The sequence below is a fragment of the Homo sapiens genome, chromosome 1 (genome assembly GCF_000001405.40).
Source record: "Homo sapiens chromosome 1, GRCh38.p14 Primary Assembly".
NCBI classification, from domain to species: domain Eukaryota; kingdom Metazoa; phylum Chordata; class Mammalia; order Primates; family Hominidae; genus Homo; species Homo sapiens.
This window is the reverse complement of record NC_000001.11, coordinates 213,220,285-213,236,443: the sequence shown is the minus strand read 5'-3', so window position 1 is coordinate 213,236,443 and position 16,159 is coordinate 213,220,285. Positions and strand designations below refer to the sequence as shown.

General features: G+C 37.5%; 1 protein-coding gene across 46 annotated transcripts in view, besides 2 other annotated features; it reads right to left on the bottom strand.

Moving 5' to 3' along the window:
- The window catches only part of RPS6KC1 (ribosomal protein S6 kinase C1), an 811,495-nt gene that overhangs the window by 626,292 nt on the left and 169,044 nt on the right, over nt 1-16,159 (bottom strand). For 34 of the 46 annotated variants that reach the window (XR_007058661.1, XR_007058662.1, NR_146210.2 and 31 more), the window contains 2 exons: nt 5,900-5,947; nt 4,189-4,321 (listed from right to left, as the gene is read on the bottom strand). The exons of the other annotated variants lie outside the window; for them this stretch is intronic. Coding sequence is in view for 29 of the 34 variants with exons in the window: in XM_047417936.1 (XP_047273892.1) it covers nt 4,189-4,321; nt 5,900-5,947 (181 nt within the window). In the remaining 5 variants the exon portion in view is untranslated. The remainder of the gene's footprint in view (nt 1-4,188; nt 4,322-5,899; nt 5,948-16,159) is intronic. 46 annotated transcript variants of the gene reach the window in all.
- Nucleotides 3,887-4,811: an enhancer, noted in NCBI's record as "OCT4-NANOG hESC enhancer chr1:213404976-213405900 (GRCh37/hg19 assembly coordinates)". NCBI's record gives its function as "activates a minimal SCP1, AML or CMV promoter by ChIP-STARR-seq in naive and primed H9 embryonic stem cells {active_cell/tissue: H9 hESC(naive and primed)}" and the evidence as "EXISTENCE:reporter gene assay evidence [ECO:0000049][PMID:30033119]".
- Nucleotides 15,702-15,892: a silencer, noted in NCBI's record as "fragment chr1:213393895-213394085 (GRCh37/hg19 assembly coordinates)". NCBI's record gives its function as "represses an EF-1alpha promoter that drives an FKBP-Casp9 reporter gene in an ReSE screen in K562 erythroleukemia cells {active_cell/tissue: K562}" and the evidence as "EXISTENCE:reporter gene assay evidence [ECO:0000049][PMID:32094911]".

Below are 16,159 nucleotides of genomic sequence, written 5' to 3'. Positions count from 1 at the left end.
GTCCAAAATGGAATCCTTGATTTTCCTTCTAAACTTACTTCTCCCACAGCTTAGCAAATGGAAACTCCATTATTTCAATTTGAGCCAAAAACTTTGAAATCATGTAAAACAGAATCATGCCGTTCTACCTTCAAAATACATTCAGACTCTAATAACCATTCTTTACGACCTACGCCAGCAGTTCCCAACCATTTTGGCACCAAGGACCAGTTTCATGGAAGACAATTTTTCCGTGGATGGGGACAGGGGTGTGGGTGGGGGTAGAAAGTGTTTTGGGGTGAAACTGTTCCACCTCAGATCATCAGGCATTAGATTCCCATAAGGAGTGTGCAACCTAGATCCCTCGCATGTGCAGTTCACAATAGGGTTTGTGCTCCTATGAGAATCTAATGCCACTGCTGATCTGACAGGAGGCGGAGCTCAGACAGTAATGTTCACTTGTCCGCCACTCACCTCCAGGTACCCGTCTGTGGCCCGGAGACCCCTGACCTACACACTAATACCTTGTCCAAGCCATCAGCATTTTCACCTGGGGTGCTGCAACAACTTCCAAATTGGTCTCCCTGCTTTTCCTTCTGCTCTCCTACATTCTGTTTTCCACAGAGCAGGCCAATGATCCCTATCTCATCACTCCTTTGCTCAGCATGCCCCAATAACATCTTATCTCATTTAGAATAAAAGTCCAGTTCTTAACGTGGCCTACAATGCTATACAGGATCTGCCTGCCTGCCTCCTCACTTCTCTAAGCATTCCTCCTACTGCTCTTTCTGTTCTGCTCCAGCCACACTGATCCTGCTGTTTCTTGAACACCAAGCACACCCCTGCCTCTAAGCCTGTGGACCTATTTGTTTTCTCTTGCCAAGACATCCTTTCCTTACATATCCACAATGCTCCCTCTCTCACTTCCTGAAGGTCTCTGGTCAAATGTCCCTTCTCAATAAGATGACCACCCTATATAAAATAGCAAACCACCCCTCTCACCCCTTTGGCATTCCCTTCCCCTTTCCTTTAATTTTTCTCCATAGCATATTTACCTCCATCTGTCATATATTTACTTAAATATTTGCTTATTGTCTGTTCTGCCTCTATAATGTAATGTAATGTAAGCTCCATGCAGGCAAAGTCTTCTGTTTTGTTCACTGCCAAATTAGAACTATGTCTGTGTCCCAGCAAGCACTCAATACATTTCTAATGAAATGAATTAAAAATGGAAAGAAAGAGTCCAAGAGACTCACATAAATCATGAGTAGTTCTGTAAGCAGTGGAAAGCTAAAGCCACAAATCGTAAGTATTCAAAGCATTCATGTTATGGAGAAAACAACTGTTCAAGGTTTGCTTTCTCAGTAATAACTATTCACACATATGAAAAGTTACTTTTCTATGACACAGGCCAACTTCCTAATCTACGGAGGTGCCACTGATGTGTAAAAGAAAACACACTGTTCATCATCCAGTTCACTGCATTGCTCAAGCCAAATCTGAGAAATTACTGTAGATTTTCCTCTTCCTAATCTCAAATCCATTACAGGTCCCATTACTCTACCCTCAAACATCTCGACTGGTGCCCCAGAAGGCCAAGCCAGCAGCACCTTTTCACTAGCCTCCTGTATTAGCCTTTTTACTGCTTCTATTCTTGCCTTTCTACAACCCATTCCCCATACAAGAGCCAGTGACCTTTTTAAAATGTAAATCAGATTCTGTCACCCCTTAAGAAGTCCAATGGTTTCCCAATGCACTTGAACAAAAGTCAAAGTCCTTACTCTGCTGTACAAGGCTCCTGCCTACTTCTCCAACAGCCTCACGTACCAACATGTGCCTCACGTTGTCCTCACTCTGCTCCATTCCAACCAAATGATACCTTTCTTGGTCATCAAACATCCCAAGTTTGTTTTTATACTCATCCCTGTACCTGTATCTTACATTCAAATGATTGTTTCTTTTGCCATTCAGAACTTCTCTTAAATGCCACCTTCTCAGAGAGGGCTCCCTCTACTACTTAATTCAACATAGTCCCCCAGTTGTTATCTATTAGATCTCCCTTTGTTAAAGATCTGTATAGTTCCTTTTATTATCCAATGTTCTCTTGCTTTTTGTTTTTCTGTTTGACTTTTCACAACAAGAATTTAAGTTTCAGGCCTGGCGTGGTGGCTCACCCCTGCAATCCCAGCATTTTGGGAGGCTGAGGCAGGAGAATCGCTTGAGGCCAGGAGTTTAAGACCAATTTGGGCAACATAGAGAGACCCAATCTCTACAAAAAATTTTAAAACTTAGCCAGATGTGGTGGTGCACGCATGTAATCCCAGCTGAGGTGGGAGATCACTTGAGCCCAAGAGTTCAAGGTTACAGTGAGCTATGATTGTACCATAGCACTCTAACCTAGGAGACAGAGCAAGACCCTAACTACCCCCCAACCAAAAAAAAAAAAAAAAGAGAGAGAGAGAATTTTCTTGTCTTGTTCACCTAAAAAGGAGCCTACTCTACAGTACATGCTCAATAAATTTGCTGAATATTTAATTAATCCAGAGTCCCTATTTGCACTATAATTTACTATCTTTATATTATAAAACCATCTTAAAAATAAACAATAGACACCTAAAATGAATGGTCAAAAGAGACAAATTTTATGGTCATGTGAGCATTCAAAGTCAGGTATGCTCGATAGTAAAGAAGGATCTAAAATAGTAGAAAATTTAAAAGTCGTAAGTCTATGATTTTAAGAGATTATACAAATTTTCTACATTATTCAAGTAAAATCAATTGAAACATCAGTTTCAAGAGGTATATGGGATGGTGAGAAGATGGTAGAAAAAAATGAAAAATGATATGGAGAAGGAAGAGGAAGAAGAGGAAGATATTGCTACAAATAACAGGTAAGTTAAGACTGAAAATTTTGCCATAGATAATCTCCAACATGAATAATCCACACTGGGTAATAGAATATTGACTATAATTACATTCATCCTACTGACCTTGTTCTAAATTATTATGGATTATTACTACGCAAGTTATTTTGTTCCACACCAGAGGTGGCTGTATTTCGCTATCAGATGACATGACCTCTAATTCAATAATGTCTGTAATGCACTGGTATCCTCAGATAAAAGCTGTCTATAATGTCTGAACAAAGGTGAATTAGTTATCCAATTCACACACACAATTAACTCTCTTAATACCTGAGAGACCACAGAGCCCCTTTTGAATTTCCTATTAAATACTGCATATGGAGGTCTTCCCTCCATCTGTAGTTATCTTGTGCTGTACTTCACAATAAACAATATTAATTGTTTACTGCCCCCATCAAAAATCTTGCATTCATTATCATGAGACCTCATTCCAGAAAGCAATGACTTCTTTTCCTAAAAAATTATATTAAATACAAATGTTATGCCTATTAGTAAAGTACAATAGTTATACAAAAATAACAATGCCTTCACGAGATACGGAAAACAATTTAAAAATTTTTTACTATTTTACGAACACCTCTTAAAAGCCAAATGGCAATATGTATTAAATGAATTTATATTTATATGCTGTTTTCAGTCATCCTAAATAAAAGACTACTTATTTAAATTCAGGTATTAAAGGGCAAAAAAAAATCAAAACATTATATTTTTTGCCACCTGTTCCCTCTACAAAGAGCTGAAATTTCATAAATAGTTTGAAGGCAGAGAACTGTGCCTCTGCTTTGTACCCATATGTGATGCCAATGGCTGTATTCATAAAAACTCAGATCAGAATGACTAGGTAATGTCAAATGTTAAGCCAACACCCTTGCCTTCTAAAAGAAGGAGGTAATTAATTAATTCTTCAGGGGATGCTTTTCATTTTAGTCATCTAACATAATGTATCCTTTTAGCAGGGAACAAGCGAACAAAATACCACTAAAATAAAATCTAGCTCTCTTAGCACACATTCATATTAAAGTTCTCATTATATTAGGTAAATTCCATGAGAAAGTAAGTAGTGAAGTAAATCTACAAATGGTACCATAGTTCACATGAAATCTGTTGTTCACCTGGGTTTTCATTTTCCCTCACAACTCAAAGTAGGGAGGTAGAGCAGAGGAATAGGAAATGGTTTCTTAAACGTGTTTCATATATTCTATCTGCTCATGAAATGACAGAGAGAAACTGGAAGCTAAGTAGGTGACATTCTTCACTGCATAAACAATCCAAACTACAAACCAACCTTCCGCATGCTGCAGCACAAGAAATACTGACTCCTCAGAGATGATGTACTTATGCAGACACACCATGTTGGGCACACAGCGGGGGATGATGGTCTTTCTGTTCCTGCTGTATTCACTGCTTTTCCTTAGACCCTGACAGAGAACAAAAAGGTCAGTTGTATCCTCAGTTGCATCCTCAGTTGCCTTTGGAGCCTGCTGTGCTCTGTGTTTATCAACCAAACTAATCTATCCGAGTTACTCTGGGCTTCAGAGAAACCACTCATCTGCTGCTCTATGCCCCCCAGTCCCTGGAGGCTCTGCTGATGGCATCTGGCGTGAATCCAGAGAAGGAAGATGCCACAAAGCTGCCATTAAAATCAATTACGTGGGTCAGTGTTTTTATTAGAGATGCTCTCAAACTAAGTCATCAGGATGACACACAGTTATTTCTCTGTGACCTTTTCTTAAGTTTTATTTTACTTATCTATATCTTTAAAGCAGTAGACATTGTAAGACCAATGCAAACTCCTGAGACACAAAAGGTATTCTTAGATTAAGCAGGCAATTTTAAAATCCTATCCCCCAAAAGTACAAACAATATTAAGTCTTCTTACAAGGAATAAGGTTTGTCTATTTTCTGGTGTCATACTCTGTTTTTAAAGAAATGTCAATGATAAAGTATATTCACACACACACACAAAATGTGTTTCAGTATGTGTCAATGTGACCTACTGCCATGCCTTATCAGCAAAAGAAAAAGCAACAGAAAAAGAAATATAAAATTAATAAATTCACCTTCTGAATGCTGTGGAAATGCTTAAATTAGGATATTTTCAGAATATGTACTATCACAGTCCATTCCAAATACAATTTCAAAATTTCAAAATTGAGGGTTCTCTCTCTCCTTATTCATTTAGTTATAAATTGCATTATGTATAGAATCAAAATTGAATTTAGATCAAATAGAGGACCAGGAATGTAGATACACTTTCCCAAAATACCTGTAACTAGATTTTAAGGCAAAATTTTAGCTCTTAAGAACTGTAGTGATAATCGAAGGTGAGACTGTGTGTAGTCTTCACAATTAAACAAAATGTTCTTGAGATGTATTTAAACAACACACTACACATTCAAACAACACAAAATGGTTCTTCAGTTTATCCAAATTATTTCCTCCATACTCTGTATCAAAAACAATGTTGTTAAATGCATGCTATCAACCGTGATGAAAGGATAGAAAGAAAAGTAAATAAACATCACCAGAAACAACATAAAAGGACATTCAAAACCTAGGGGGGGGATATATTAACTACTTAGTTAATATTAACTAAATATTAACTAAAATATTAACTTTTCTTTCAGAAGCATAATTTGAAATTCAAATTTTAAATTCATTAAACATATAAATTTTACTTACTCTTTTTTTTTTTTTTTTTTTTTGAGACAGGGTCTCACTCTTGTTGCCCAGGCTGGAGTGCAATGGTGCAATCTTGGTTCACTGCAATCTCTGCCTCCTGGGTTCAAGCGATTCTCCTGCCTAAGTCTCCCGGGTAGCTGGGATTATAGAAGCCCACCATTATACCCGGCTAATTTTTGTATTTTTAGTAGAAACGGGGTTTCACCATGTTGGCCAGGATAGTCTCGAACTCCTGACCTTAGGTGACCTGCCTATCTCAGTCTCCCAAAGTGCTGGAATTATAGGCACCGCGCCTGGCTACAAATTTTACTTACTTTTAAAATGAAAGTCTGTTCTGTCCTTGTGTCCATTACAAGTAAAACCTACATAAAAGACACGAGTAATAATTTATTAACAATACAATGAAACATTAACTCTTAGCTTTAAACTAAACTTTAAGAGTAGGGCAGGGCTGAAATTTAATCCCCTCCCCAAAATTGTTCATTTCTGAATAAATTTTTTTAAGTCAGCAAATTATAGGATCAAAATAATCTTATCCAAAATAGGTTTTATTATGGTTTCCTTTTCTAAAAATGCCGTATTTTAGAAACATTACTGTTTCCTAAAGTATTTTAAAATGTATTTCTTAGAAGTAAAGGAAATACTATTTTAAACAGAGTTTTTCCTCTTGGAACATATATGATCAACAGGAAGTGGTTCAAAAAAAATTGTTCAAGTCTCAATTTTCTTCCTAAAATCTCCTATGTAGCAACTTGCTATAATGTGATCTCAATAACTCAGGCTCTAGCCTAAGGCATCCTTTTGGTATCTCTTCACCCTGGATTCACCTTAACACCCCTTTCCACCACCGGCAAATCCTGTCAGCTCTGTCTTCAAAATGTATCCAGAATCTGAACTCACCTTACCACTTCCACAGTTATTACTCTGATTCAAGCAAAGATCAACTCTTACCTAACTTGTAACTACAGTGTTCCAACTGATCTCCCTGCTTCCATCTTTGCTGCCCTGTTGTCTATCCTCAAAACAGCGGCCAGGGTTTTCTTTTTAAAACATAAGTTAGAACATGGCACTCTTCTTATCTCACTGAGAGAAAAAGCTTAAGCCCATAAAATGACCTCAAGACCCTTCATAACCTCTCACACATTGCCCCCCTAAACTACTCATTCCCACCCCTCATCTTGATGGATAAAATAAATTAACAGAAGTATGAAATTATCCTACCCTATTAAAGCTTTATTATTTTGGAAAAACTACTGTAGCAAAGATTGGCAAACTTTTTCTTTAAAGGGCCAGACTGTAAATATTTTAGGCTCCGCAGGCCTATGCAGTCTCTGTTACAGCTTTTCAACTTTGTCATTATAGAACAAAAGCAGCCACAGACTGAAATTGGCCATGGGAGGAGGATTTGTACTACAGAAATCAGCAAACACTGCAAATGAGCCTTCTTCCCCCTACCAGAGAGCTGGCTGTCAAACATTTACCAGCCCACCACTGGGTAAGGAAAGACAGAATTTAAGGATGAAAAAAAAAGATGTTAAGCTTGAAAAAAATAGAAGAATTTTTAAAAGGTGAGAAGAAACAAGGAAGTTGAGATGGGAAACCAGTTCGAGAAGATGGAAAATTCCATTTTAGATATTAAAGTTGAAAAAATAGTGACAACTTCATCTTTGTCTTCTGTTTGACCTACACTATTTAAATTTCCATTAATTTCAATACAATATTCTCACAGGTACCTCATATCCTCTTCCCAAGGCCCTGCCTTCACCAAACAAACAAACAGCCTGCTGCTCCTCCTATAGTACTAAGACCATCTTCCATGCATGCTCTGAAACTAAACGTGGTCTAAGTTACTCTGAACTGTCTCCTGTCTCCCACCTTCAGAACAAGTGACTGATCCAGGATTCAACAATTATACACTGAGCACCTTCTGAATACCAAGTATTTAGAATCAATTCTAAATCAATCAAATCAATTCTACCTCCTAAGCACTTCTCTTATCCACCCTGTATTCTCTAATCTGCCATGTTTTAAGCATTTACTATGTGCTATACTTTACCCAGGTGTAATCAATATTAATCCTCCCAAAAAGCCAATGATTTATTTTATTTTATTTTGTTTTATCTTATTTTTATTGAGACTGGGTCTCACTCTGCTACCCAAGCTAGAGTGCTCTGGTGTGATTTTTAGCTCACTGCAGCCTCAACCTTCCAGGTTCAAACGATCCTCCCACTTCAGCCTCCCAAGTAGCTGGTACTACAGGCATGTGCCACCATGCCTGGATAATTTTTTTTTTTTTTGTAAGACAGGGGTCTCACCATATTGCCTAGGCTGATCTTGAACTCCTGCGATCGCTCAAGCAATCCTCCTGCCTTGGCCTCTCAAAGTGCTGAGATTACAGGGATAAGTCACCAGGTCTGGCTCAGTGAAATAATTTTACCATTCCTATTCTACATTAGAAGACACTACAGACATGTCTTCTTATGGACATAAGGCATTCTTATTATGTAGAAGCTATAATAGTCGGTAACAGTATCTAACACTTGTGAGGATTTCAGTAAGATAATCTTATAAAAGTACAGCTAGTTGCTATTACTGCTATCACTATTATTGCTTGTTTTTCCCTGAAATATTCCCCCAGGCACTTATCAAACAAGTATGCATCTTTCCATATGCAGCACAAATGTCACTCTAGCTCTCAGTAACACTGACTACTTTCTTCCTTTCTTCTGCTGTTTTACACAGCACCAACATCTATTATAGAATCTCTAACCCTTCGATTTGGGGGTCTGTCTCCCAGTGAGACTTCGAGCTCTTTATGGGCATGCTGTAAAGGCAGGATAATGGGCCCCAAAGATGTTCATACCCCAAGAATCCCCAACATTTGTGAACGTGTTATGTTACTGGCAAAAAAGCCTTTTCAGATGTAATTAAGGTACAGACCTTAAAACAGAGAGATTACACTGGATTATCTGGGTGGGTTCCAAAATATCACATGAATCCATTTCAAAAACAGAGAACTATCGTCTATGAAAAGAAAGGCAAAGCACAGAAATGATAAGGCTGAAAGGGAAATCATATTCAAAGCATGAAAGGGATGCATGGCTGCTGGCTCTCAGGTGGCAAAGGCCCACATGCAAGAACTGGAGAGAGGCTTCTAGGATCTCATAGCAAGCCTAAGAAGGAACCTAGGCAACTTCTAGGAGTATAGCGCAGTCCTTGGCTGACAGCCAGCAAAGAAACAGAGTTCAGTCCTACAACTCTATGAAAAGAACAGAATTCAGCCAACAACCTGAATGAGCTTGGAAGCAGATTCCTCTCCTGAGCTTCCAGTAAGGAATATAGTCTTGCCACCATCTTGATTTCAACCCAGTAACTGTGTCAGACTTCTGACCTATAGAACTTTAATAATTTAGTTGTTATAGGCTGCCAACTTTGTGGTAATTTGTTATGTCAGCAACAGAAAACCAACAGCATAAAAATTATTCTATCACATAACACACTGTTCTCACACAGTAAATGTTTAATAAACATACGGTTAGTGAATTCAACTCTAAAAGTTTGTAAGGTAGATGACGACATGGGAATAGAGCTTAGAAAATAAGTCGGTACTAATGATTTATATTTGAGCATTCTCCATAAAGATAAAAACTAAAGACACAAGAATGAATCCCACTGGGACACTTCCTTTATATCAGGCACTGTGCTGGGCTTTAAGGAATTAAATCATGTAATTCTCTCAACAATCCAAAGAGGTAGGTATCTTTTATTAATCAAGTTTACAGATAAGGAAATAAGCATAAAACTGATTGTACTCTCTGGAGTGCACTCTGAAACACTGGAACTTCTTTAACCTCAGGACTTTGTCCATACTCACAAAGATAATAAGTGGTAGAGGGTAGTCTGGCTCCAGGTTTCTTCCTCTTTAATTGCTAAGCGATACTATTTATTTCTGAATTTTGAAAATATACATAGTTGAAATATTGTGAGTAAATAAGACAATAACCAAAAGTGTAATGAGAAAAGTACAAAGAGAAAACATAGTGGTTCAGGTGACAGAGAAAGAGAATGCTTAAGATGAGTGTAATCTATGCTAAACAACAGAGAGAAGCCATGAAGAATAAGGACTGAGAAACCATCACTGGTTAGGGCAGTTAGGAAGTCATGTGTAACTTTCAATACAGCATTGTACAGTTCACTGTACAATGAACTGAGGATAAAAGCAGATTGCACAGAGTTCATAATGAGTGATAAGAAAATAGAGGTGACATATATAAGCCTTTCAATAGTAAAGTCTGTCAGAAGAAGGAAAAACACTAAAATGAAATAGTGGTATCATCAGTTGAAACAAAGGGTTTGACTTTTATTATTTTTCAGATAGGATAGACTTATTCTCTCCATAGCTGCCCTTTGAGTTACAATGAACACAAATCTTGAGCCTCCAAAACATGAAAACACATTTGTGAACTTTAAGAGTTAAATCAACATATCAAGAATGTAAAAGGAGGCACCATGGCCTTCCTTCTGCAAAGGAGAGCTCAATAAATATCTGTTGAACATCTGTTGAATCTGTGAAGACATTTAGTGTTCCTTAAGTCTCATTTGTTTTTACATGAGGTGTGACTTTTTTTTTTTTTTTGAGACAGAGTCTTGCTTTGTTGCCCAGGCTGGAGTGCAGTGGTGCGATCTCCGCTCACTTCAAGCTCTGCCTCCCGGGTTCACGCCATTCTCCTGCCTCAGCCTCCGGAGTAGCTGGGACTACAGGCGCCCGCCACCACACCCAGCTAATTTTTTGTATTTTTAGTAGAGACAGGGTTTCACCGTGTTAGCCAGGATAGTCTCAATCTCCCGACCTCGTGATCCGCCCGCCTCGGCATCCCAAAGTGCTGGGATTACAGGCATGAGCCACCACACCCAGCTTACATGAGGTGTGACTTTTAAGTCACTTACCAGAAAGCCAATTCTATTTGAACAAGACATATCTATATAAAGTAGAACACATCTCACTAGGTAAAAGGCATGGAAGCTGTATAACCAAAGGAAAGAACTTCTCCCTATTAAAAGCCCCTTAATTGACTCAACAAAATATACCTGCACAAATCAGGAGTGATACCTCCTTACTGATCTCACTTAGTCATGAAGCATGAAGCAGATCAGATAAAAAGGCCAAACCGGCTGGGCGCAGTGGCTCACACCTGTAATCCCAGCATTTTGGGAGACCAAGGTGGGTGGATCACCTGAGGTCAGGAGTTTAAGACCAGCCTGGCCAACGTGGTGAAACCTCGTCTCTACTAAAAATACAAAAATTAGCCGGGCATGGTGGTGGACACCTATAATCCCAGCTACTCGGGAGGGTGAGGCATGAGAATCACTTGAATCAGGAGGCGGAGGTTGCAGTGAATTGAGATCGCGCCACTCCACACTCCAGCCTGAGCAAGAGTGAGACTCCATCTCCAAAAAAAAAAGCAAATTAAGATGGATAAACATGGCTGGGAAATGCTGCTTTGTTTATATTTACTTTCTTCTCCTACAAAGTTTGTGTGCAACTAGACAACGTTCACATTGAGGCAATAAACACAAGAACATATGTGATTTTTTAAAAATGTGCCCTTTGACTGTCAATTTCTCCCAAACAGGTGTTGGCTAAATGATTATAAATTGGCCTCTGGATATACCTCTTCAACTGAGCCGTACAGGGCTGGTGATAATATAATTAGACCCAAAAACATCAGGCTGGTGAATGCTTTCCATCTGTTTGGCAATAATGTTTAGTTAACAATAGTCTTTAAAAGAAGCACCTTCAACTTCAGTTCTTAAAGTTATTTATAGAGCCATTCTTAACACACCAGCACTCCTGCTAACAAGAGCTTTAGCTGCTTGGAAATTATTAGCCATACAGCTGTACACAAAGAGAAACGACTGCATTTAACATCTGTATCTTTCCAAATTTACACGCTTCAACCTCATTTAAAGTCATTTCTTAATGAACAGTGCTATGGTGCTGCATTAATATTATAGTTGCATGCACAAAGATCATAAGGAGCCAAACATTTTTTTAATGCCAACAGTAGGCCAATCTGTAATGAAACTGTCAGCATAAAGGACAAAATAATAGCTTCTTTAACCCTCAAACAGAATTTGTTCATGTGTAGACTAAAACACATCAATTTAAAAACTGCTCATGGGTTTGCTCACCTTTATAAAGACAAAAATCTAATTTGTACTAGCTTGATACAATTGTCTTTCCAATAAAAGGCTCCTAAAACAATCTTTTATTTCATGATAAAACAAGTACTATAACTAAAACTGTCATGAAATAATTACCTTGGATAGCATACCTTATTGAAAGAATACAATTAATGTATTTCTCCCTTTCATTTTTCACACTTACTTATCAGCCCTATATTAGCATATGGTCTAACAGAAGAAATTACTTCATCTTTGCCCATACTAATACATGAAATAACTGCTCCTAACTGGGGGAAAAAAAAGAAAAAGCAGGCAACTTATTCCTTAAGGATTAGCCTCATCTGTTCTTCAATTCCACAAGTTTCACTTTTCCCACTTTTCTGTCATAATAGTAGTAGGAAAAGCTCCAACTGATTACAGGTTTGAGTCTATTTGTTAACTAGAATTAAGAAAGGACTAATATTTAAGTAGGCAACCATCTTTGCAAAGAAAAGAGGGAGAAGGGGTACACCAAAAGTATCAAATGATGATTATTTTTAAGCAAATAAAGAAAAATAATATGGAGAAGAGAAAAGAGATATGCTACTATGAAGGCACTACGACTGTGGTGAAGAAGTGTGGAGAGTTCCCTTCAGTGGGGATTCAGTGTCTCCCCATTCATGAATCTTTTTAGATATTTAATTTAAATGTTGACACTGGAAGTCTGGAAGTCCCTGAAAATAACTTCAGCTCCAATTCCTTTTAAAAGAAAGATTACTTGGGTAATTTCAGGGACTGTCTGTCTCTACTTTAGTGCCAGTTACTTCATGGGACTCCAGAACAATTAATACAAGTTAAAATAATGCTTAAGTCTATAGAAAATTAGTACAACCACTATGGAAAACAATATGGAGATTCCTTAAAGAACTAAAAGTAGAACTACCATTCTATCCAACAATCCCACTACTGGGTAGCTACCCAAAGAAAAAGAAGTCATTATATGAAAAAGACACATGCATATACATGTTTATAGCAGCACGATTAGCAACTGCAATGATACCGAACCAACCTAAGTGCCCAGCGACCAATGAGTGGATAAAGAAAATGTGGTGTATATATACTCCATAGAATACTACTCAGCCATAAAAAGAAATGAAATAATGTCTTTTGCAGCAACTTGGATGAAGGTGGAGGCCATTACTCTAAGTGAAGTAACTCAGGAATGGAAAACCAAATATCATGTGTTCTCGTAAGTGGGAGCTAAGCTATGAGGATGCAAAGGCGTAAGAGTGATATAATGGACTTCAGGGACTCAGGAGGGAAGGTTGTGAGGTGGGTGAAGGATAAAATACTACGTATTGGGTACAGTGTACATTGCTCGAGTAATGGATGCACTTAAATCTCAGAAATCACCACTAAAGAACTTATCTGTGTAACCAAAACCACCAGTACCCCAAAAACTATTGAAAAAAAGAAAAGAAACAAAAAGACTACAGGACAAACACAGAGCATCCCTTAATGGTGTCACATATAACCGGATTTGTGTTTGCTGCTTATAATCTGGATGAGATATCAACTGTGTAAGTCATGCTCCCCGTAATTCACATATAAATAATGACAACAGAAAGAATGAGATCAACACAATAAAGAAACTAGAGAAAATAGTACTAGACCGATTTTGCAAATAAGTTTTTCCCAACATACTTTCATGTGAACATGATTGTACTTGCTACACTCTCTTTCAAAGGTAATCCATACTTGACTAGTATTAGATCTGAATTTTTAACCAGATGGGCAAATTTACAAGAGCTGGTAATGTTATCCTTCTATAGAAATGGATTTGAACAACAAACCTAGAGCATTAAAACTTTGCTTTCCTCCCCTAACACCATGCATAATTATCAAATGTTATTCATATTTTCTGCTAAAATAAATCTCATTTTGTATTCTTAAAACATCCAAAATGTGTTTCTACTCTTAATTCCACACCTTATTCTCATGAGGCATCTTTATAAAAATTCAACTACTAGAAAACAAGGAATAGTACTCGGTGGGCTTTAATATCAACAATTCTCCCAACTGGGGTCTAACTTCTCTTTCTTTGGCATCAGAAGGCCAGCAATGTTCCCTGTACCATTGCCCAGCAACTCCAAAAGCAAAAGATGTTGCACCTACAGCTTCAGTCCATCAGAAGCTGCACCATCAAGAGCATTAGCATGAACAGACCATGCAGAGATGCTTCTCTCATGTTATGCCATGAAACCAATCTGTCCTTGGTTTCATAAGTTTTCCACTGATGAAAATTCAAGCATAAAGAGTAAAATTTGACAGGGATACTTATAACTCTAGTCTACAAGATATTTTCAGCTATTACTCTCAAGGATACATTTTCAATTGAGAAAAGTATATAAGGTACCCAAGATTTATGGGTAACAAAGAAAATCCTTTGGAGCCTTACCAATGTTTCATTTGTGCTAGAACTTCCCACATAGCAGATTATCATGAAGTGAACAAATAATCCAAAAAGGTTAGCAATGTTCCCTGTACCCACTGCTCAGTAACTCCAAAAGCAAAATATGTTGTGCCTACAGCTTTAGCTCATCAGAAGTCGCTGCATCAATTTCTGCAAAGTTAACAAAGTTAAGAACGGCAGAGTCAAGAATCACCAACTAATTTAGAACAAAAGGAAATATCTCTTTGAGGCAGGTTGAGTTCTTCAGGCTCCTATTTGATCCAGAAATACCTTCAAAGGTAGAAGAAAACAGACCAAATCTACCAGAATTATATGAAGATTGTACTTAAAATCCACATCTCTTCTTAGTTATTAAAATCCAAAATGCCATAATTCAAAATATACTTTGTTTATGCAAACACCCAAGATTCCTAAAAACAACCTATATTTCAATTTATGTAGTTATCTGATTTATCTTAACTACCAACAAACTGGGGTAGAAACAGAGGAAAAAGAACCAGGTTAGGAAGAGCAAGTAACATAAGACTAAACTGGTAAATAAATACTTCTATAAGAACACAACTAATTGTAGATTTCTTTAAATGCCCAGACATTCACAAAGGTTTTAGTATGCTAATTTTTAATTAAAAGATATTTCAGCAGTGAAAGTTCTTTCATATGCACTACTGATTCTTCATCAAACGTTAACTTTCCAACTTAACACCAGTTTAGCTGGTGGCAGCCTGAAGGTTTACCATCTGCTGCTACCCAAAGTCACTGTGGCCACCTTCAGAACATATGCATCAAAGCCCCAAGATAAGAGACTGAAGAAATATTGCCTAAGTCAGCATAAGGGGGATGACGAACCCAGAGGCAGGCAACAGGCAAGCTACCAGAAAACACAGAACGTCATGAAGCATCAGTTCGCCTATGGAAAAAGTACCCAAGGTCACAGGGGACTCCAATGGCTGAACAAAAAGACAAGAGAAATACTACTCCTAATGGAATATACTTAAGCCATTATGTGATCTTTCTATTAAAAAAAAAAGTCTAGTCATATTTAAAATCACCTGTAATTTTATTGAAAATAGGCATTATGGTGAATAAAATGAAACATAAAATGTAAGATGTTTTATTCAGTCTATGGATAATAATAAAGATTGTATTTTTTATGGAGTCATAAAAGTAGAGTATTTTGTTTTGAAAGGCCTGTTTTTCTGGGTACTATCATACCCATACTTCAAACATAACATGAGAAAATAGACTTTGAGACAGATTTAACAAAATCCACAAAATACCACTTTAAAAACCTGATGCCATATATTTAAGGTAATGATCACATTTACCATAATACTTCATATAAAAACAAAATACTGTGGTGTCTTTTAAAAACAGAATCTCAAGAATCTAACTATATTCAATTCTAACACTGAATAACTGGCATACATTTATTGTAAAAGAAATGTATTCACGGGAAATTTGCTTAGACTTCATTTTTGCTTTCTGCTTTTTAAAATGTATTTTAAATGTAGTTAGAAGAAAATAAGTATAAAAGATATTTTCTAGAAAATTATACAAAAGCATCTTTTAACTCTTAGTTTTAAAATGGCAACAGAAGGCTGGGCACAGTGACTCACATCTGCAATCCCAGCACTTTGGGAGACTGAGGCGGGCAGATTGCTGAGGCCAGGAGTTCGAGACCAGCCTGACCAACATGGTGAAACCCTCTTTCTATAAAAATACAAAAATCAGCTGGGTGAGGTGGCACATGCCTGTAACCCCAGTTACTTGGGAGGCTGAGGCACAAGAATCACTTAAACTTGGGAGGCAGAGGTTGCACTGAGGTGAGATCACACCACTGCACTCCACCCTGGGTGACAGAGCGAGACTCCATTTCAAAAACATAAAATGGCAACAGATGCAATTTTTTTGTGTTAATTCTGATCTTAATTCAGAT